Consider the following 23,864-nt stretch of genomic DNA (forward strand, 5'->3'; position numbering starts at 1 on the left):
GTAGCGCATGCCGGTAATCCCACCTACTCAGGTGGCCGAGGCAAAAAAAAAAAAAAAAAAAAAAAAGGATGATACCACCATTTCCCCAAAACATTTCCATTTTTAAAGAGGATCCTTAAAAACAAATCCTCAGTTGGTAGAATGTCCTATATGGGGGGAATATTTGAGGACTAGACACAGCTTCCCTTCTGAACAAGAAGAAACATTCACCCTGGGATTCTCCAGGTTAGGATTTGGGTGCCTTTAGAGGGACTTCAGAGCAAGAACTCAGTTCCCCCGAGAGCTCCTGCCACCAACCCACCCAACTGATTCCCATCAGGCAAGATCATGTCAAAAATGCTTTCCTCATCTTGGCTGTATATATTCCCCCACCATCTTCCTAGCCCTGCATCCCAATCACACAAAGCCATGAGAGCTAAAACAGACCTTAGAGATCCCCTCACTCAAAGTCCTCAGTATACAGGTAAGGAAACAAAGTCCCAGATAAGCATTGAGGCCATGTAGTTCACAGGACTGAGATGAGAACCATGATCTCTTCCACTCCAGATACAGTAACTTAGCTGGGCATGGTGTCATGTGCTTGTAATTCCAGCTACTCAGGAGGCTGAGGCATGAGAATCGCTTGAACCCAGGAGGCAGAAGCTGCAGTGAATCGAGATCGTGCTACTGCACTCCATCCTGGGTGACAGGGAGAGAATCTGCCTCAAAAAGAGAAAGAAAGAAAGAAATACAGTAACTGACACTTGTTGGTTGCTCACCATGTGCCAGGCACTGTGCTTAGTGCTTTGGATACATTAGCTCATTCAGTTCCCTCTGAGATATGCAAACCCTTCGTTAAATTCACAAACATATGCAAGAATGTACAAGAATAGTCCACTACCAAAAAAGAAAAAAGATGGCAAGAAGATGATGCAAAACATTTCTTTTCCGATTGAGAACCTTTCAGCTTGTCGGCTAAGATGCATCTGAGTGATCCTTCTCTTTCTGGTCTCATCCTCTGGCCCCCTCACTCAGGATCCTTCTGGCCCTTTCTCCCCTATGTTCTCCCCCCATGGGAGTTGGTTGCCCCTTGTAGACAGGAGGGGCACCGTGAGATCCTCAGTGTTCTGAGTGTCAGTTCTGTATGTCCTGAGAAGGCCTTGCCAAGCCTTTATTGGGTCCAAGAAGAAGCATCCCCAGCATGGAGCATCTACAGGAAAAAACCTCCTCTTGCTAACATAACCACCGTTCACAGCAAAACTTCAATCGGTTATCCAAACAAAGCTTTGGTCTTTTCTCTGTCTTCTTGTGCACCCATTCAGCACCTAGACTGAAGATGGTCAAGGAGAGGGGAGAAGAATTGGGAGGGCAAAAGAAAACCCCGTTCTGCCACAGAGAGGTGCTCCTCTGAAGTGGAGTGAGGTTAAGTAACTTGACCAAAGAACTAAGGAACCAAAGGGCCAGCTTCAAACCGGGCTCTGTTTTTGTCTGCTATGTCTCATCTGCTCAGGGAGTTGAACTGTAACAGTCCAGAGAGTTTGGCCCTAGGCCTCTGCTTCCTTAGCTATCTTCTAGTGACCAGGGAAACCATCTCAGCCTCAGCCACGCCCTTGTCAGGACCCCTCTAAGAATTGGGGTTAATTTTGGAAGTAGGGTGAGCTCAGAGCAGCTGGAAAGTTGACAGTGCTCATGTCTTTCACTACCTCTTTGTGTTCCTGTCCTCATTCCTCCATCTTTATCATTCATTTTTTGAGACAGGGTCTCACTGTCTTGCCCAGGCTGGAGTGCAGTGGTGTGATATTAGCTCACTGAAACCTCTGCCTCCTGGGTTCAAGTGATTCTCATGCCTCAACTTCCCCAGTAGCTGGGATTACAGGTGCACACTACCAGGCTAATTTTTGTATTTTTAGTAGAGAAGGGTGTTGACATCTTGGCTAGGCTGGTATTGAACTCCTGACCTCAACTGATCCACCCGCCTCAGCCTCCCAAAGTGCTGGGATTACAGGCATGAGCGACCATGCCTGGCCTGGTCTTTATCAATTATAACTCAGACCACATAGTTGCGTGGCCTCCATTTCCCAGTTCATGCTGACCTGGAGGCATAAAGAAGCCACACTGATGATCGTGATTCTGCAGTCGCTTCCCTCTGGGGCCTCCTGCTCCCCTTTCCCACATCAAGCCTCCACCCTAGGGTATTTCACCAGCACTTATTCACATCCACACTCTACTGACCCTGCTTGCATGAGAAATGAGGGGACTGAGCTTCTTGCTGTGGCTCCCACCACGTACCAACCTGCCAGGCAGACACTGCCTCTGGTCAGTACTCCCAAAAGGACACACCATGGGTGCCTCTGAAGTGGGGAGAACCTCCTTCAATACCTTATGCAGAAACCTGTAGATACACCAGATATCTGGGTCTGATCCCTGAAGACCTTTATTTCTTGGACATGTTGACGTAAGCCACATGCCTGTGCCCCTTCTTCCCTTTGTTCCTTCTTGATGAATGAAAAAAAAGATGGTGGCTAGAACTGGAGCAACCAACATAGACTACAGGTGACCTTGGAGAAAGAGGCCACGGGCTGCTGATTAACAAGCTAGAATGAGCATTTGATGACTACATCAACTGGATTTGCTTCCAGACTCTCATATGAGAGAGAAACAAACTTCTATCTCCTTTGACACACTGCTGTTTTGGGATTTCTGTACATCATGGTTGAACCTAATCCTACTAACATCCTTTAGTTCTGTTTGTACTTAATGTGCTCAGTTAAGCATGTTTAGTTGCAAGTAACAGAATACCAGGCCAGTGGAGATTTGAGCCATAAGACGTTTCATTGTCCTCCATTATAAGATGTCTTGAGGTAGGGAGTTTCAGAATGTGTTCCATGGTTCAGCAGCACCAGGACACAAGGACAGCACCTCTGGGGTTCTCCAGAACTGCCACTCCTGGTCACAATCTGGCTGCAGCAGCACACTCTCACACAACAGCATCCAGAGCAGGAACGAACTCTGTTATTAGTAAGAAAATCTTTCCCATCAGTCTCTGAGCAGGTTTCCCCTTACAACTCACTACCCACCCCTAGTCCAGTCACTGCCAATGGAGAGCAGGATTGCCCAAACTGGTGAAGCCCATAGTAATTTATCCCCTCTTTGGTGAGGCACATCGTCATTCAATCAAAACCACCGCTCCATTAGCAAACAAGCAGAAAGAATAGTTGGGAAGTGGGCATGGGGGTGGGCAACCAGCGTGTCTGCCTCACAAATCAAAACACTCGCTCTGCAGGGATAAAGGCATTTGGGTCCTTTATTTGATTTTGTTCTCTATTTGGGTTGACATGGTTCTAAAAGTCCAAAACTAATTCATTCACTTAAGACATGTAGCTTTTCTACTTAAAATAGACTACCTGATTATTCGGAGCTAAGGAAGAACTAAGTGGGAACAATATTTAACCAATCTAACAATTAGGAAAGATGATTTTATCTTTTATGCTCTCGGAGAGAAACAAGAGTTGCTTATTTTAAGAAACACCCATCTCAGAGGCTCTGGAGCCATTCTCTCCCAGCCTGCCTCCCTGGATTGTTGGTTCTATTCTTGAATCTTGTGTCTGCTCTTTCTCCATGGAGCTCGCTGGATCTCCTTCCTCATGCAATTCCCTCCCTTTTCTTCCAGGCTGGCCCTGTGCCTCCTCTTTTGTTATTGTTCCTTTTCTCTTTATTTGTTTTGTCTTTCTTGCCCCTTTCCTCCTCCCCCTGCCTTTCAACCACTCCTAATGTTGAAGCATTCCTGCTAGAATCTGCTCTTTCATTAGATTTGTTTCCATGTTTATTTTTGTCACTTTTAAAAGCAGGTGAGTTAAATGTTTGTACACTGCCTTCATAGAAAAAGCTTTTACAAAATTAAACTAAACTAAATGACACACACACAAAAACAACCTTCCCCATTTCTGTCATGTGACTGATTAATTGCACTCAGTATTTGGTCTTGTGATGGAAAGGACTAGCAAAATGCAATATCCTATCAGGCTCTCTTCTTTGATTTGATCTAATTAATTCAGCCAAGCTCTGGCAGACAGTGCAAAGCCATATGGGCTGTCATGAAGCCCAGCAAATATTCATGTAGCTGGAACCTCTCAGGTACTTGGCTATCGACACAGAGATCTGGCTTGGACCCAGCACTGAGCTGGAGTGTCCTGCATGGGGGCTGCTGTGGACTGAATTGCATTTGTCCAAAATCCATATGTTGAAGCCCTAACCCTCAATGTGACTATATTTGGAGATAGGGTTTTTAGGAGATAATTAAGGTTAAATGATGTCATCAGGGTGGGGCTGTAATTTGGTAGTACTGTGGCCTTATAAAAAGAGGAAGAAAAAGATCTCTCTCTCTCTCCTCTGCCATGTGAGAGCACCACAAGAAGGTAGCCATCTGCAAGCCAGCAAAAAGAGCCCTCAAAAGAGACTGAATCTGCTGGCACCTTGATCTTGGACTTCTCAGCCCCCATAATAGTGTGGAAATTAGTTTCTATTGGCTAAGTCATGCAGCCTATGGTATTTTGTTATTGCTGACCAAGCTGACTCATACAGGGCATGATGTGAGCACAAAGTGATGACTAAAACAACATGGAACAATTCCCTACCCAGCCTCCTCCCAGCTTTTGTAGTTGAAGCTCCATCCACCTAAGTGGACTCAGCTTGTTCATCTGTGAATCAATAGAGTAAACTCTGGCTTCTGGGTGGGGTGGTGGTGGGGATGGGGAGTATAGTCACCTGGTGGGTTCATCTTGTCCACTGCACAGACAAAACCAATTCACTGAGACACGGGCATTGCTGTAGAGAAAGAGCTTAATTATCGCAAGGCTAAACAAGTTTCTACTTGTTTAGATGGGAGTAATTAGTCAAACCACCCTCCCTGAAATCTTGGAGGCTAGAGTTTTACAAGGATAGTTTGGTAGGCAGGGGGCTACGGCATGGTGAGCGCTGATTGGTTGGGGATGCAATCATAGGGTGTGAAAAACAGTCCTTGGGCAGAGTCAGCCTCTGGGTGGAAGCCACGGGAATAGCAGTTGACTCATGAGTCATGAGTCCAGGTAGTCAGTCAGTCACCAGAATGCAAAAGTCTGAAAAACATCTGAAAAGACCAATCTTAGGTTCTACAAGAGCAATGTTATCTATAGGGTCAATTAGGGAAGTTATGAATCTTGTGACCACCCCTACACAACTGCTGAACAGTAAACAATGACTAGTTACCATTCAGCTATGCATAGATCTTAACAGAAATTAGGCCTCTATCATAATCCTAATCTCATGGCCTTTCATTAGTTTTACAAAGGCAGTTTCAGTCCCTAAACAAGGAGGGAGTCAGTATTAGGGAGGGACTATTATCCTCCTTGCTTCAAAGTTAAACTATAAACTAAATTCCTCCCATGGTTAACTTGGCCTATGCCCAGGAATGAGCAGAGAGCCAGACTGTGAGGCTAGATGCAAGATGGAGTCAGTTAGGTTACATTTTTCTCACTGTTATAATTTTTGCGAAGGCAGTTTCAGGAGGGAACAAAATTTTGCTGAAATAAATGATACCTCTTTCATATTTGTGGTGATTTATTTATTTCTAGGATGATTTTCTCTTTACATTTTAACCATAAAATTTTTAGTATGTATCTCTTAACAATACTCTTAAAAATAACCATTATTATAACATCGTTCAAAACTGAATTCCACAATATCATCAACTATCTAGTATGTGTTCCTACTTCTAATTATTTCATAATGCATTAATGTGTGCATTTTCATTTTTACACATTGTTTATTTGAATCAGGTTCCAAATAAGGCTCACCAATGCCAATTGGTTATGATGTCTCTAAGTCTCTTATAATCTATAGGATCCTCTTTCATCATTTTATTTCATTGAATTTCTGTTGTTGTTGATGAAGAAAACAGGGTGATGTACCATATAGAGTTTCCCAGTTTGGATGTTCTCATTATATCCCCATGGTGTTTTTTGTTTGTTTGCTTGTTTTTGTTTTCTGTTTGTTTGTTTTTGAGACAGAGTTTCACTCTTGTCGCCCAGGCTGGAGTGCAGTGGCGCGATCTCTGCCCACTGCAACCTCCGCCTCCCAGGTTCAAGTGATTCTCCTGCCTCAGCCTCTCAAGTAGCTGGAATTACAGGCATGTGCCACCACGCCTGGCTAATTTTTGTATTTTTAGTAGAGACGGGGTTTCACCATATTGGCCAGGATGGTCTCAAACTCCTGACCTCAGACGATCCACCCTCCTTGGCCCCCCAAAGTGCTGGGATTACAGGCATGAGCCACCGCGCCTGGCTCTCCATGGTGTTTTAACATGTTACTCTTTATTTTTTTTTGTAATTTCTTGTGAAGGATAGGTTGGATCTAGGGGCTTGATCACAAAGAGGATGAATTTTTTCAAGAGTGCTTCGTAAGTGGTGATATGTGCTTCCATCAGAAGAATATAACATCAAGTCATTTCTCTTTGTGTGATGTTGGCAGGCACTGATGATAAATACACAGACCCTTTAATGCATTAAGAGATGCAAAGTGATAATATTGTATCAATTATTTCCATGTATTAGCTGGAGTAATTCTATAAAGAGAAATTTGTCTGTCTTAGCTTGGGCTATTAAAACAAAAATACCACCGATTGGGTGGCTTATCAACAAGAGAAATTTATTTCTTACAGTTCTGGAGGCTGGAAATTCATAGATCAAGGTGCCAGCGATTCAATGACTGATGAGGGCCCACTTTCTGGCTTATAGATGGCCTTCATCTCAGTGAGTCCTCACATGACACAGGTGGGTGAATGAGCTCTCTAGAGCTTCTTTTATAAGGACGCTAATCCCACTCATGACCCCCTTCCAGACCAAATCCCCTACCAAGGGCCATTTCACTGGGGGTTAGGATTTCAACATAAGAATTTTGGGGGAACACAAATATTTGGTCTATAGAATTCCCCTCAACTACCATTTAGTTACCCAGTGGTACAGCTCATATAGGACCATCAGATAAATTCTTGATTATTTTCCTTTGTTTATTGGTTTTTACATTAATGAGCTGGTTCACTAGCATTCTCTAAGGGAGACCAATGGACAATAGTTCAAGTTGCCTTTTTTCTGTATTATTATGAACTTGTGGATTTTAAGATATTTTATGTGTTTCAATCCATTGCAGTTACTATCCTTAATAATTTCTTTTTTTTTTTTTTTTTTTTTTGAGATGGTGTCTCACTCTGTCACCCAGGCTGGAGTGCAGTGGTGCGATCTCGGCTCACTGCAACCTCCGCCTCCCGGGTTCAAGCGATTCTCCTGCCTCAGCCTCCTGAGTAGCTGGGACTACAGGTGCATGCCACCATGCCTGGCTAATTTTTGTATTTTTAGTAGAGATGGGGTTTTGCCATGTTGGCCAGGCTGGTCTTGAACTCCTGATCTCAGGTGATCCGCCCACCTGGGCCTCCCAAAGTGCTGGGATTACAGGCGTGAGCCACTGCACCCAGCCTCTTAATAATGTTAAAATTGTCTAAACTTTAGCCAAGGGAAGCTTCTTCAGGTTGTTTCCTGGGGTCCTTTTAACATGACTTGGTAATCTTTGATCTCTTCCTTTCATCTTTGCTCTCTGATCCAGAAAGACATTCAGGCTCTTCCAGTACAGTTCCTGACCCAGACCTGGAATCAGTCATTTCTTCAAGTAACTTTGTTTCCTTTTAGTGGGAAATGAAATTGCACTATCACAGTTTAGTTGCTGGGGATATTTATTGCTATGAGCTTGATCATTATTTTCTCAGTATTTCCACAGACAGAACTAGAAAACTGTTCTGTTTTTTTTTTACGTAAAATGTCATGAGAACATATTGATACTTCCAATTCAAATTCAGAAGTGAAGGGTTTATTTAAACTTTTCTATCTTAAATATGTCCTTTCTCCCATACCAGTAAAACTGACTGTCAGTGACAGAGAAAAATACAATTAGTGAAAACACCTTTGCAAAACTATGACACTAAGAGAAATCTGACATGGTTGACTCCATCTTGCTTCTAATCTCCAAATTGCCCTTGGTCATTCCTGGGGGTAGGCCAAGTTAATTTGGGGAAAAATGTAGTTTATAGTTTAAGTTTGAAAGCAAGGAAGATAATAGTCCCTTCCTAAAACTAACCCCTACCTTGCTCAGGGATTAAAAACTACTTTGTAAGACTAATGAAAGGTCACAAGATTAGGATCATGGGAGGGGCCTGAATTCTGCTAAAATATAGGCATAATTTCTATAATCCCTTAGTGCTCAGGGCTCAGGAGTCATGTGGTCAGAGATCACAAGATTTATGACTTCCCTACTTGCTCCCTATAAATAACATCACTATTGAAGAACCTAAGATTGGTCTTTTGAGATGTATTTTAGACATGTGCATTCTGGCAACCAACTAACCCCACCTGGACTTGTGACTCATGACTCTGCTGTGGGGTCCCGTGGCCCCCATCTAGAGGCAGACACAGCACACGAGGACCATTTTCCACAGCCCTAAGATGGCATCCCCAACCAATCAGCAGCACCCATCCCCTGTCCCACCAAACTATCCTTGACAAATTCTAACCTCCCAGCCTTCAAGGAGATTGATTTGAGTAATAACTCTGTCTCCCTCGTGGCTGGCCTCAGGTCAGTTAAACTCTTTGCTGCGATGCCACAGTCTCGGTGGATTGATTTTGTCTGTGCAGCAGGCAGGAGGAACCCACTGGACAATTACATTAGAATAGCACAGCTGTCTTAGAGAAGGAATGCCAGCACTCGCCAATGATATGAATACTATAACCATTTTAAATTTCCTCCCATTATATTTGTCCTTAAGATATATCCCACTAGAATGTATAATCAAATTATTGTTTTTAAAGTCTCTTAGAATAGTTCTCTGTCATGTGAACTATTCTTCACATCTTCCAGAATGTACAGAGTGTAGATCTGAGAGGTCTGAGGAAGGCCAAGCCAGAACGGAGGTAAAGGACCTGTCTAAAGAAGGACCATATTCCTTCCAGGAGAATCAGATGCACTCACATCCAACTTAAAATCCTGCCGCTTCCTTCATTTACACCCTCTAACTCCTCATTTCCCTATCATCTCACCCCATGTTCAGCTATGCCAATGCTGCCTCTCAGATTTATTAAAAATGTTTCTATACCTTTGATGCAGTAATTTCATTTCTGATCATTTATATGTAAATTAGGCAAAGAAGGAAAAAACACTTATGCCACGAAGATTTTAACAATTCATGGACTGAAAGATAGTTCTTAAACTTTAAAATGAAAAAAATTTTTCCTAAAGAACTTATGTAGAATGTAGATTCTGGCCAGGCACAATGGCTCATGTCTGTAATCCTAGCATTTTGGGAGACATAGGCCAGTGGATCACTTGAGTTCAGAAGTTCCAGACCAACCTGGGGAACATGGTGAAACCCCATCTCTACCAAAAATACAAAAAATTAGCTGGGTGTGATGGCACACACTTGTGGTCTCAGCTACTTGGGAGGCTGAGGCAGGAGGATTGCTTGAGCCTGGGAGGGGAAGGTTGCAGTGAGCTGAGATCACACTGCTACACTCCAGTCTGGGCGACAGAGCAAGACCCTGTCTCGAAATAAAATAAAATTAAATAAAATTAAAAATAAAAATAAAATAAATCAAATAGAATTGTCAATGAAAAGAGTCGAACTCTGTAAAATATTTGAAGAGATTTATTCTGAGCCAAATATAAGTGACCATGGCCTATGACACAGCTCTCAGGTCGTCCTGAGAACATGTGCCCAAGGTGGTCGGGGGGCAGCTTGGTTTAATATATTTTGGAGAGGCACAAGACATCAATCAAACACATTAAGAAATACTTTGGTTGGCTGGGCATGGTGGCTCATGCCTGTAATCCCTGCACTTTGTGAGGCCGAGGCAGGTGGATCACCTTAGGTCAGCAGTTTAAGACCAGCCTGGTCAACATGATGAAACCCCGTCTCTATTAAAAATACAAAAAAATTAGCCGGGCATGGTGACAGGTGCCTGTAATCCCAGCTACTCGGGAGGCTGAGGCAGAAGAATGACTTGAACCCAGGAGGTAGAGGTTGCAGTGAGCCAAGATCGTGCCACTGCACTGCAACCTGGGCGACAAGAGTGAAACTCCATCTCAAAAAAAAAAAGAAAGAAAAAGAAAATACATACATTGGTTTGGTCTAGAAAGGCAGGACAACTCAAAGCAGGGTGGGGCCGGGGTGGGGCACCTCCAGGCTATAGGTGAATTTAAACATTTTCTGGTTGACAATTGGTTGAGTTTGTCTAAAGACCTGGGATTCTTAGAAAGGAAACGTTCAGGTTAAGATAAAGATTGTGGAGAATCAAAGTTCTTCTGAAGTCTTATATGGCTGCCCTTAGAGGCAATAGATGACAAATGTTGCCTATTCAGATCTTAGTTAATCTCTTTAGGATTGGGAGGGTCTGGAAGAAAACGATCTAGCTATATTAATAAAGATTCTTTACAGATGCAACTTTTCCCCCACAAAGAACAGCTTTGCAGGGCCATTTCAAAATATAGCAAAGAAACATGTTTTGGGGTAAAATATTTTGATTTTTTTCCTTGCCTCATAATGTATGCCAGAGTCAGGTTGGAAAGTAAGTCAATATATAGGGTTAAATAAAACCCATCTGATGAGAATTTATGATTTGTAGGGCATGACTTCCCAGACACCTTAGATAGGAATTTGGGCAAGACAAAAAAAAAAAAATCAGAGTTTAGTCCTCAGAATATAGATTCTATTTGCGGCTTTTAAGCACATTCCCTTGACCACTGAGAAACAAAAATAAAATTCTGAGCCCCCCAACTTACTGAATGGATCCACTCTTGGCCAAGGATACCCCCAGAGAAATTTTGGAGGCTAAATTCACAGCCATGATGGCATGGGAAATCGAACGTGCTTCATTATATCCCCTCCGTTGATAACAGTCATGGGTTTTCTTCTCTAACGGCTAAATAAAAACCAGCTTTTTCAAAAGACTACTAACTTATTTTCCCAGATAAAGAACAAAGATTAGATTAATCATTCCTTCACCTCTCCCTGAGATAGATGAGATTAATCGTTCTTTTACTCCTCCCTGAGCCATCTGCTTCTTCTATTCCCTTTTTCTTCAAATGTTCACCTTATGTTATGTAAAATGTAGATTTTCTGGACACTCATCGAAGTTTCACAAGTATGCAATCAGTTGTCTCACTGCCATCCCCCCCACCCTTTTTAAGGAAAGTGAATAAATATTGAACCTCTTAAGAATCTTTTTGGAAGAAACAGCCACAGACACTTCAATGACTTGTGTTTTTCCAGGGGACACCATCAAGCTGGCTTAATAACCCTCGATGATTTGAAACTTATGCCTCAATTGCTCATTTTGGTTGTCACCACCAATTATGTTGAGCACTTTTTCATGTGTCTATTGACATTTTTATTTCCTTTTGTGTGAAGTGCCTCATTTATGTAGGGGTTTTCTCATTTTTTTCTATGGATTCTCAGTTCTTGCCTTATTGATTTGTAGGAATTTTTAACATAGTCAAGATACTAGCCTTTTGTGGTAATACATGTTGCAACTATTTTCTTCTACTCTGTGTTTTGCCTTTTTACTCTCTTTATGATGCTGTTTCATAAACGAAATTTTTCATTTTATTATAATGTTATGTTTGTCAACTTTTTTCCTACATGATTAAGAAATTCTTCCCTGCTCTTGGGTCATTGAAGTCTTTCTATCTTCTATGGGACGTATAATTTTACTTTTCACATTTAGCTCTCTTAGCCTCCTAGAATTGATTTTTATGTATGATATGAGGTAAGCCTCAACTTTTACCTTTTTCCATATGGATGTCTACTAGTCCCAGAACTATCATTCGAAAAGCCCATTTTCCCCCACTGATATACAAAGTGACCCTCATCACAAAAATTTTCTAAATAAGCATATTTATTTCTGGGGTCTCCATTCCATCAGTCTGTTTATCTCTCCCTGTATCAATGCCATGCTATGTAAATGCCACAGTTTATATCATATACTTTTCTTATACTTTTCTTCAGAAGTATAACAGCAAATGCTATACTTAATGTTTTTAGTGGGTTTGTTTTTGCATTTTCATTTGTATTTTCATATATTTTAGAAGTAGTGAATCAATTTCAATACATAATCTGCTGTAACTTATATCAGGATTGAAAGGAACGTGTAGTTCAATTTAGAGAAAATTGGTATGCTTAAGTAATACTAAATCTTCTAATCCATGAACATGGTATATCTCTTCATTTCTTTATTTTCTTAGATGCTCAATAAAGTTTTATTATTTTCTCTATAAAGGTCTCCTACACATTTTTAAAACCATTAATTTCTAGGTATGTTTAAATGTTCATGTTAAAAATATCCTTTTTCTTTCATTTTCTCATTGTTTGTAGCTACCACACAAAATGTAAATATTGCTCATTAAATTTGTATTCGGCAAAATTGCTAAACTCTTTAATTCATTCTAATAACTTCTCTATAAGTCATTTGCATTTTCTATGTAAATTATTATATTATTTACAAAGAGCTACAGTTTTGTTTCTTCCTTACCAATCTTAATACTTTTTATTTATTTTTCCTGTCCTAATGTTCCAGCTTGAACCTCTGGTACAACAGAAGTGGTGATAGTAGATGTCCTTGTCTCATTCTGACCAAAGGGAAAGTTTTTATTTTTCATTGCTAAGTATAACATTTGCTATAGATTTGTTAGATGTCCTGATAAACATAAGAAAGTTTCATTTATTATTAGCTTGCTGAAAGTATTTTCTAAATTCTTATAAATTGATGTGGAATTTCATCAAACATGTCGTTTGTTTTAATCTATCAAGAAAATAATGTGGTGTACCTTCTGTAAAGATTGAATGTCACTTTGGGAGGCCAAGGCGGGTGGATCACGAGGTCAGGAGTTCAAGACCAGCCTGGCCAACATAGTAAAACCCAGTCTCTACTAAAAATACAAAAATTAGCGGGGTGTGGTGGCACTCACTTGTAGTCCCAGCTACTCGGGAGGCTGAGGCAGAGAATTGCTTGAACCCGGGAGGCGGAGGTTGCAATGAGCCGAGATTGCGCCACTGCACTCCATCCTGGGTGACAGAGCAAGACTCCGTCTCAAAGAAAAAAAAAAAAGATTGAATGTGGTGGATTACATCCATTGATTTTTCTGATGTTAAACCATCTTGCATTCCTAGAACAAACCTAACTTGGTCATGATGTGTTGCCCTTTATAAAATATATATGGTCTTGATTTTTGTAAGGATTTGTATATTTCATTCATTCATCCTCTTAACAAATGTTTATTGATCACATACAGTGTGCTAGGCACATTTCCACATCAACAAAACAAACCAGAGTCCTTGCCATTGTGGAGATAAAATTCTGTCAACAAGAGACAGAAGGTATAATTAAATACAATTCACAAGTCTTATTCCAGGTATTAGAAAGTGAAAAGTACTATGGAATTTTTTAAATGGAACAGAAAGGGGGATAGGGAGATCCAGGGATAATTTGGGAAGGTACAGTGGAATAATGTGGTAAGAGAAGGTCTTATCGAAAAGTAACAGCTAAGAAAATATTTTAAAGAGATAAGGGCGGCCGGGCGCGGTGGCTCAGGCCTGTAATCCAGCACTTTGGGAGGGCGAGGCAGGCGGATCATGAGGTCAGGAGATCGAGACCATCCTGGCTAACACGGTGAAACCCTGCCTCTACTAAAAAATACAAAAAATTAGCTGGGCGTGGTGGTGGGCGCCTGTAGTCCCAGCTATTCGGGAGGCTGAGGCAGGAGAATGGCGTGAACCTGGGAGACGGAGCTTGCAGTGAGCGAAGATCGTGCCACTGTACTCCTGCCTGGGCGACAGAGCGAGACTCTGTCTCAAAGGAAAAGAAAAAAGAGATAAGGGCATTAGCCATGTGGATAACAAGAATATGTGCAAAGAGGCCAGTGTAGCTAGTCTGGAGTGAGCAATGAGAGGACCAATAGGTGAGGTGGTCAGAGGAGCTAAAGGGCTAGATCATATGGGGACTTGTAGACCACTGAAGGAATTGTGAAATGGGGTACTGCAGGGTTTTGAGCAGAAGTATGGCATGACATGATTTTCACCTTAAAGGGACCGCTCTTAAAGCCTTGTTGAGAATAGATTATAGGAAGGCAGACATGAAAAGAGCAGGACCAATTACGAAGCTATTACAATAATCCAGGTGCAAGATAATAGTGGTTCAGGTAAGGTAAACAGTGGAAGTGGTGAGTAATGGTTAAAATCTGGATATATTTGAAGACTAAGACAACAGAATTTCCTGATGAATTGGATGTGTGGTGTGAGGAGGAAATAAAAGAGGAATTAAAACCAACTCTATTTTTGTTTTACATGTGTGGCTAGAAGAATGGTTTGGCAGATGAAATCCAAAGTTCCTTTTGGTATGTGTTGAGTTTGAGGTTTCTGTCATGAAGCCAGGTAGAGCTATCAACCAGGCAGTTGAATCTGGAAATTGGGAGAAAAGTCCAGACTAGAGGTAGAAATTTGGGAGTTCTTGGCATATAGATGGTATTTTTAAATTAATGGTAATGATGATATTGCCAAGGAAGTATGTGTACATAGAAATAAGAAGAGGAGGCCAGGTGCAGTGGCTCACACCTTTAATCCCAGCACTTTAGGAGGCCGAGGTAGGTGGATCATGAGGTCAGGAGATCAAGAACATCCTGGCTAACACGGTGAAACCCCGTCTCTACTAAAAATACAAAAAATTGTCCAGGCATGGTGGTGGGTGCCTGTAGTCCCAGCTACTTGTGAGGCTGAGGCAGGAGAATGGCGTGAATCCGGGAGGGGGAGCTTGCAGTGAGCCAAGATCGCACCACTGCACTCCAGCCTGGGCAACAGAACAAGACTCCACCTCAAAAAAAAAAAAAAAAGAAATAAGAAGAGGCAAACCAAGTGTTCACCTTGTTGAACTCCAACATTAAGAGTTTGGGGAGAAGAGGAAAAATCAACAAAAGGGACAAAGAATAAGCAGACAATGAGATAGGTGGGGAATCTGGCAACTACCCTATCTTGGAAGCCAAAGAAAAGTGTATTTCTAGAAAACAGAAAAAACTTACCCTTATTCTGTCAAATGCTGTTGATAGGTTAGGTAAGATGGTGATAGAGGTTGACCTTAGATTTAGCAAGGTTATTCGTGCCCATAAAAAGAACTATTTTGATAGAGTAGTAGGAGAAAAGGCATGAGTGCATGGAGACAGAATGGAAGGAGAGGACATAGTCAGAGAATATAGATAAACACTTGAAGAAATATGGAAATGAGTAACTGGAGGAAGAAGTTTGAATGTTGATGGAAATAACTTGGTAAAAGAGTAAAATACTGACTATGTAGCAAAGAGGGGAGAACTAGTAAAGAAATGTCCTTAACTAGAAGAGAAGGATAGGATGCAGTGCAAAAATAGAAGGATTATGTTTTGGGGGGGCGCTGTTTATTTATTTTTGAGACAGGGTCTCGCTGTGTCACCCCGACTGGAATGCAGTGGCACAAACATGGCTCACTGCAGGCTGGACCTTCCAGGTTCAAGCAATCCTCCCACCTCAGCCTCCCAAGTAGCTGGGACTACAGTTGCATGCCACTACATCTAGCTAATTTTTAAATTTTGGGGGAGATGGGGGTCTCACTATATTGCCCAGGCTGTTCTTGAACTCCTGGGCTCCAGTGATCCTCGTGCCTCATCCTCCCAAAATGTTGGGATTACAAGCATGAGCCACTGCCCCTGGCTGGGACTGGGTTTAGATAGGAGCATGGAAAAATCTATTATATTTAACAGGCAGGAAATACATGGGTGTAGATGAGAATACTTGCACGGGAGTAGGTTCTGTAGTAGAGGACTGTGGAAGTTCTGATTATTTCAAGTTTCTCAGCAAAGTAAGAAACGAGGGCATTAGCTTAAGGTCTAGAGTTTTAGATATTTTAGAAAAAAGTTGCTCATATTATCATCTTTTTACTTGTAAAATAACTACAGCATCAGAAGTGGAAACTCATTTTCATCCCTGTCATTGGTTATTTATACCTTATTTTTCTGTTCTTATGTCTTCATTTGTTGTCTACTTTATTTATTTCTTTACTTTATTTCCTGTCTCTAACTTCTGGGGGCAAGGGTATTTTGCTGATTGTATTCTGATTTGTGATAGATGCTTAGCTCATTCATTTTCGGCCACTCTTCTTGTCTAATATATTTTTAAGATTTAAAATTTTTTATTATGAAATGTGTTAGCTACCTTCTATAAGCAATTAAATACGTACTAGTTTTCAGTTCAAAATATTATCTAATTTCTAATACAGTTCCTTCTTTGACCTGTGTTTTATGTTGAAGTATATTTTTTAATTTCTAAAACTATGAGCTTTTCTACTTATTTTTATTATTTATTTTTAGCTTACTTGCATTGCAATTGAGCCAAGCTTTGTAAAATTTCAGTTCTTCACAGTTTATTAGGACTCACTGTATGACCTTGTTTTTTTTCCTTTGCTATAAATGTTCTGTGTATGCTAGGGAAAAATGGGTTAGTGGGTGCAGTTTTCTAGCTATGTTTATTAGGTCAAGTTTATTAATCATGCTATTAAAAGATTCTATAGCTTATCTAATTCTTATGAGCCAAATTTATCACTCAGGGGCGTATGCCAAAACCTTCTGCTGTGGCTGTGGATTTCTCTCTTTTTTTCCCCTTAAATTTCAGTTAATATATGTTTACTGTATGTTTAGATTAGGTAATTAAGTTATACTGCTTAAATGTATTATCTTTTAATTTGAACTTTTAGTTCATTTACATTTAATGTAATTGGTAACATATTTTGACTTATATAAACCATATTATTTTTTGCTTTGTATTTTTTCAACCCATTCTACATTTTTAAAAAATCCTGGCATACCTACTTAATAAAGCCTGATGTTAATCAACAGGCATCCTCCTCTGGACAGTAACAAAAACAAAGAAACTTAGAACACTATTAACTCTATTAACTCTGCTTCCAACTTGCATATTGTGGTGAATATATATTAACTCTATCATATTTGTAACCCCTTAATATATTTCTTTATTGTTTCACATGCTTTTTGTTCCATCTTGCATCTCAGATTTTCCATCTGGAATTACTTTCCATCTGCCTGAAGCTTATTCTTTACAATTTCCTTTAGTGAGCATCTGCTTGTGGCAAACTTTCTCAGCTTTACTCGTCTAAAAATGCATTTATGTTGTCCTCATTCTTGATAGATATTTTCATCCGGTCTACAATCCTAGGTTGGCTGTTTTTTGTATTTTTTTAATGCACTGACAATATCATTTTACTTCCCACTGGCTTCTCCTGTTACTACTGAAAAGGCTGCTATAAGTAATGCTGGTCCTTTAAAGGTGAGGGTAGATGGCTCCCAATGAATCCCAGCTCCTGGTATTCCTCCCAGATGGAAAGAGAGCCCCCTCTGTCCCAGGGATCAGAGATGAGCCTAGCTTTCAGCCAACTCCCTTGAATAACCAAACAAGTGAGCTCAGGTGAAACTAGCAGAGGAATCTTTCAGCCAACCTACAGAATCATTTTAAAAAATAATAAATCATTGTTGTTTTAAGTCACTAAGGTTTGGGGTGACTAGTTATATGGCAACATATAACCTAAAAAGAAATTGCCAACTAGAACTGCAATGTTGTAGTAACAAAATCCTAAAGGTAGGCAAACAAACAACAAAAATCTTAAATGTATGATATTGGCTTTGGAACTGGACAGTGGGCGAAGGCTGAAAACCTGGCTGGAAAATTGTTAATGAAGCCTGGACGGGCTGCAAACAAACTATGAGTGGAGGCTGGAAAAGCAGGGAGGAACTCCTTATTGGAAACTGTTAAGTGGGTACTCATTGTTTTGTATAGTGAAACAATTGTGTCTTATCCCATTCAGGCTGCTGTAACAAAATATAGTAAACTAGGTGGCTTATCAACAACAGAAATTTACTTCCCACAGTTCTGGAGGCTGGGGAGTCCAGGATAAAAGCTGACAGATTCAGTGTCTGGTGAGAGCCCACTTTGTGGTTCATAGACAGCTATCTTCTCACTCAGTCCTCACATGGTGAAGAGGTAAGAGGGTCTGTAGTCTCTTTTTAAGGGCACTAATCCCTTTCCTGAGGGAAGAACCCTCTTGACCTAATCACCTCCAAAAGCCCTACCTCCTAATACCATCATTTTGGGGACCGGGATTTCAACATATACATTTGAGGGGAACACAAACATTCAGATGATAACAAATTGGCAACACTCTTGCCTGCAGTAACTTGGAAGAGGGGAAAATGGACCTCACTTAGATACAGTTGTAGCTGTAGCTAAAATGTCCAGCAGAATGCTGAAAGTATTATTTGGCCTCCTTTAGCTGCATATGATAAGACACATGGTATACATGATAAGAGAGAGGAACTAGAAAGAACTTTTCAGTCCGCAAGTAGAATTTAGAGGAAATCTAGAGTGCCCAGGACTTACTGGATTGTGAAATAAAATTGTTTCTCATCCTCAGTCTCTCCAGCCAGTAAAAAATTCTCTGAGTAAAACATGCTTACGATAAAGAGGAAATCCATGTGTGGCAGTAAATTCCTTTATTAAGATCCCACAAAGAGTTAAGGCAGTACTTAGTAGATCCCATTAGCTAGACAAATGGACTTCTATGAATCATAAGGGTAGTGACCCACAATAGCTTGATGTGCCCAGTGTAGACAGAGGTCTGTTTTGGCCTCTTGGGGCCTCATGGCTTTTGGAACATGGAATAAATTCCATCTAGAGTCATAAGAAACCAAACATATTTTTAAGGAAATTGTGCCTGCTTGAACTCAAAGCAATAAAGAATAGCTCAAAAGAAAGGCTGTTTCTGAGCCCCCAATCATCTACAGGCAGAAAAAGGCTGAGAATGTCACTCAGCTGCAAACATGGGCCATTTTCTATCAAAAAGGAGAAATGTCCGAGGTTAGACCCAAGGGTCCAGAGGGTGTCACCAAGAACTTAAAAGAACAACGCTATGATATTATGATATAAGAAATATGTATTTGGTCTCTGCCCCTAGTTCTTGGCACACAGGTCCTAAAACTCTTGTAATCTCCCAAATAGTAAAAGTCTTTTGTATGCTAAGGAGGTGACTGGCTGGCAGCTGCTAGCTAGCTTTAGAATGAGGTTGGTCACCAGAAAGATCAAGGCAGGATTAAAAGGTTGGGACTTTCAGCCCCATCTCACCCCCAAACTCTGGGGAGGAAGAAGAGGATGAAGGTTCTGTTCATCACCAGTGGCCAAGGATTTCATCAGTCATGGCTATGTAATGAAGCCTCCATACAAACCAAAATGGGCAGCGTTCACAGAAGCTTCCAGACAGCTGAACATGTTGAGGTTCCTCTAGTGTGGTGCCCAAGGAAGGGCATGGAAGCTCCACATCTCTTCTCATACCTTACACTATGTATCTCTTCCATCTGGCTGTTCATTTGTATTTTTTATAATAAATGAGTAAACATAAGTGTTTCCCTGAGTTCTAATTGAACCTGAGGAGGGGGTCATAGGAACCCTGATTTAGAGCCAGTCAATCAGAAGCACAGGTCATAACATGGGGCTTATGATTGGCATCTGAAGTGGGGGCAGTCCTCTGGAACTGCACCTTTAACCTACGGGAGCTGATGCTATCTCCAGGTAGCTAGCGTCCGAATGAATTAGATTATTAGACACCCAAATGGTATCTGCTGGAGAATTTCTTGGTGTGTAGGGAAAACCCCCACACACATCTGATGTCAGAAGTGTTGAGTAGTGTATGAGAGCAGGAAAAATAAGTTTTTGTTTATTTTTTTAGACAGGGTCTCACTCTGTCACCCAGGCTGGAGTGCAGTGGCACAATCATAGCTCACTTCAGCCTCAAATTCCTGAACTCAAGCAACCCTCCGACGTCAGCCTCCTGAGTAGCTGGGGCTACAGATGCACACCACCATGCCTAATTTGTTTTTTTTTTCTTTTCTTTGAGATGGAGTTTCACTCTGTCACCCAGGCTGGAGTGCAATGGCACGATCTCGGCTCACTGCAACCTCCGCCTGCCGGATTCGAGCAATTCTCCTGCCTCAGCCTCCTGAGTAGCTGGGACTACAGGCACGCGCCACCATGCCCGCCTAATTTTTTGTATTTTTAGTAGCGATGGGGGGTGAGGGGGTGGGGTTCACCATGCTGGCCAGGCTGGGCTTGAACTTCTGACCTCGTGATCCACCCACCTCGGCCTCCCAAAAAACTGGGATTACAGACGTGAGCCACTGCACCCAGCCGGTTTCATTTTCATATTGTAGAGTTGGGGTCTTGCTATGTTAGCCAGGCTGGTCTCAAACTCCTGGCCTCAAGTGTTCCTCCTGCCCCAGCCTCCCAAAGTGCTGGGATTACAGGAGTGAGCCATTGCACTTGGCGTAAAATGTTTTTTTGTTTTTTTTCTATAATTTGAAAATGCTCTAGGGATCAACTCCTAGAGAGTAGAACCAATTCCTGATCATCAAGAAATATTCCAGGCCGGGCACGGTGACTCATGCCTGTAATCCCAGCACTTTGGGAAGCCAAGGTGGGTGGATCACCTGAGGTCAGGAGTTCATGACCAGCCTGGCCAACATGGTGAAACCCTGTCTCTACTAAAAATACAAAAACTAGCTGGGTGTGGTGGCACATGCCTGTAGTCCTAGCTACTCCTACTAGGGAAGCTGAAGGAGGAGAATCGCTTGAACCCAGGAGGCAGAGGTTGCAGTGAGCCAAGATCATGCCACTGCACTTCAGCCTGGGTGACACAGCGAGACTCCATCAAAAAAAAAAAAAAAAGAAAAGAAAAGAAAAAAAGAAAAAGATATATCCCATGCCCTTGGAATAGGAAAACCTGACCCCTGACATTAGAGCAGCTGAATTTCAGAATTGTTATGAAAGAGTGACTGGCAGATACCTCTTTCCCTTTTTTTTTTTTTTTTTTTTTGAGATGGTGTCTTACTTTGTTGCCCAGGCTGGAGTGTGGTGGCATGATCTCAGCTCACTACAACCTCCGCCTCCTAGGTTCCAGCGATCCTCCCACCTCAGCCTCCCAAGTAGCTGGGACTACAGGCGTGTGCCACAATGCCCAGCTAATTTTTGTATTTTTAGTAGAGATGGGGTTTCACTATGTTGACCAGGCTGGTCTCGAACTCCTGACCTCAGGTGATCTGCCCGCCTGTGCCTCCCAAAGTGCTGGGATTACCAGTGTGAGCCACTGCACCCGGCCTTTTCCTCCCTTTTTAATGAGAGTAAATACTGACTCATCTCACCATTTTATATTTGGTGTGAAAGAGGCAGATGATTTTTTGTTCACAGGCCTCTAAATCAAGAGGAGTTACATCTGAGGATCTGCACCCAAAGGAGTCTCCTCTGCATCCAGACCTAATACAGATCACAAGATGATGGACTTTGAGTCTGATACTATTATTTGGGTGATACTTTGAGTCCTGGCAAAAGGTGAATTTATTTTCCATGAGGGAGGGAATTGAATCATGGAGGCCAGAAAACAGAATGTGGTTGATTGAAATACACTTGACCCTGAAACAACACAGGTTTGAATTGTGCTGGTTCATTTATATGCATATTTTTTTCTTTTCTTTCTTGCTTGCTTTCTTGTTTTTTTTTTTTTTTTTTTTTTTTGGAAATGGAGTTTCGCTCTTGTCGCCCAGGCTGGAGTGCAGTGGCACAATCTCCACTCACTGCAACCTCCGTCTCCTGGGTTCAAGCGATTCTCCTGCCTCATCCTCCCAAGTAGCTGGGATTACAGGCACCTGCCACCACGCCTGGCTAATTTTTTGTATTTTTAGGAGAGACAGGGTTTCACCATGTTGGCCAGGCTGGTCTGGAACTCCTGACCTCAGATGATCCACCCGCCTCGGCCTCCCACAATGCTGGGATTACAGACGTGAGCCACCACGCCCAGCCTGCATTTTTTTTTCAATAAAAATTACACCAAGTGTGCCTGCCTCTCCTACCTCCCCTTTGACCTCCACCTATTCCACTCTGCCACCCGTGAGACAGCAAGACCAACTCCTTTTCTTCCTCTTTCTCTTCAGCCTACTCAATGGAAGACCATGAGGAAAAAGACCTTTACAGTGATCCACTTCCATTTAATGAATAGTAAATATATTTTCTCATTCTTATGAGTTTCTTAATAACAATTTTTAAAATTTTCTTTTCTCTAAGTTACTTTATTGTAAGAATACAGTGTATAATACACATAGCATACAAGATATGTGCCAATCAACTGTTTATGTTATCGGTAAGGCTTCTGGTCAACAGCAGGCTATTAGTAGTTAAGTTTTGTGGGAGTCAATTTTCAACTGCACAGAGTGGGTCAATGCCCCTAACCCTCGAATTTTTCAAAAAGCAACTGTATTTGCGGCTCCCAATGAATCACACTTCCTAATATTCATACCGTAGCGTAGTTCTCTCCCATATTGACTCTGGGCTCGGGCAGGTAACTTACTTTGGGCAATAAGGCATCCACACATACGACGCAAACAGAGGCTATATAAGTATCTGCGTTTTGGGGTTTTCCCTCCTGGAATGCTTTTTTTTTTTTTTTTTTTGACGGAGTCTCACTCTGTCTCCCAGGCTAAAGTACATTTGTGCGATCTCAGCTCACTGCAACCTCCACCTACTGGGTTCAAGCAATTCTCCTGCCTCAGCCTCCCAAGTAGATGGGATTACAGGCGCCGCAACCACACCTGGATAATTTTTGCATTTTTAGTAGAGACGAGGCTTCACTATGTTGGTCAGGCTGGTCTCCAACTTCTGACCTCAGGTGATCCGCCTGCCTCGGCCTCTCAGAATGCTAGGATTACTGGCGTGAGCCACTGCTCCCAGCCTGGAATGCTATTTTTGTCATGTGAAGAAACTCAGTCTGTTGTCTTTGATGATGAAACATCTTATGGTAAGGGAGAGATCAAGCCATCCCAGGCATCCCAGTTAAACCCAGCTCCTGTGTAACCCACTAGGGGATACAGAATACAGCTGTATGAATGAGCCCACACAAGACCAGTAGAATTGCCTCACCAAACCAGAGAATTGTGATAAATAATAAATCATCAGTCTTTTAAGCAACTAAGTTTTGAAGTAATTTGTTACATAATAGATAACTGTAACAAAGGTACTCTATCCTTTTTCTCTGGCTACTTTAAAATTTTCCTTTACTTTTGATGTTCTGAAATTTTATTATAATGTCTCTGGCTGTTGATTTCTATTTGTTCCATGTTATATTCATCCAACTCCTCAAATTTATGGATTTGTGCCTATAATCATTTCTGGAAAATTTTTAGCCATCATCTCCTCTAGTATTGTCTGTGCTCCATTCTTGCTCTGCTCTCCTTACAGAACTCTGATTAGACATAGGGTGGACCTTCTCACCCTATCCTTTATGGGTCTTCTCTTAGCATCTCTTTTGTCTTTTTGCAACTCTTTGTCTCTTGCCTCTATGTTGGATCATTTCTTCTATCTTCCAGTTCAGTAATAGGCTATATTAAACTTGCTTTTTTATCTTTTTTTTTTTTTTTTTTAGAGACGCACTCTCACTCTGTTGTCCAGGCTGGAGTGCAGTGGTGCCATCTTGGCTCACTGCAACCTCTGCCTCCTGGGTTCCAGCAGTTCTCCTGCCTCAGTAGGAAGCAGGAGAGTAGCTGGGATTACAGGCGCCCGCCACCACCCCTGGCTAATTTTTGTGATTTTTAGTAGAGACAGGGTTTCACCATATTGGTCAGGCTGGTCTCGAACTCCTGGCCTCAGCTGATCCACCTGCCTCGGCCTCCCAAAGTGCTGGGGTTACAGG

General features: G+C 41.7%; 2 annotated features.

Moving 5' to 3' along the window:
- Nucleotides 3,971–5,170: an enhancer, noted in NCBI's record as "CDK7 strongly-dependent group 2 enhancer chr6:17179073-17180272 (GRCh37/hg19 assembly coordinates)". NCBI's record gives its function as "activates an origin of replication core promoter dependent on BRD2, BRD4, P300/CBP, MED14 and CDK7 cofactors, with strong dependence on CDK7, by STARR-seq in HCT116 cells {active_cell/tissue: HCT116}" and the evidence as "EXISTENCE:reporter gene assay evidence [ECO:0000049][PMID:35650434]".
- Nucleotides 18,434–18,634: a silencer, noted in NCBI's record as "peak5698 fragment used in MPRA reporter construct". NCBI's record gives its function as "represses an SCP1 promoter by STARR-seq MPRAs in K562 erythroleukemia cells {active_cell/tissue: K562}" and the evidence as "EXISTENCE:reporter gene assay evidence [ECO:0000049][PMID:32103011]".

Source organism: Homo sapiens, chromosome 6, assembly GCF_000001405.40.
Source record: "Homo sapiens chromosome 6, GRCh38.p14 Primary Assembly".
NCBI classification, from domain to species: domain Eukaryota; kingdom Metazoa; phylum Chordata; class Mammalia; order Primates; family Hominidae; genus Homo; species Homo sapiens.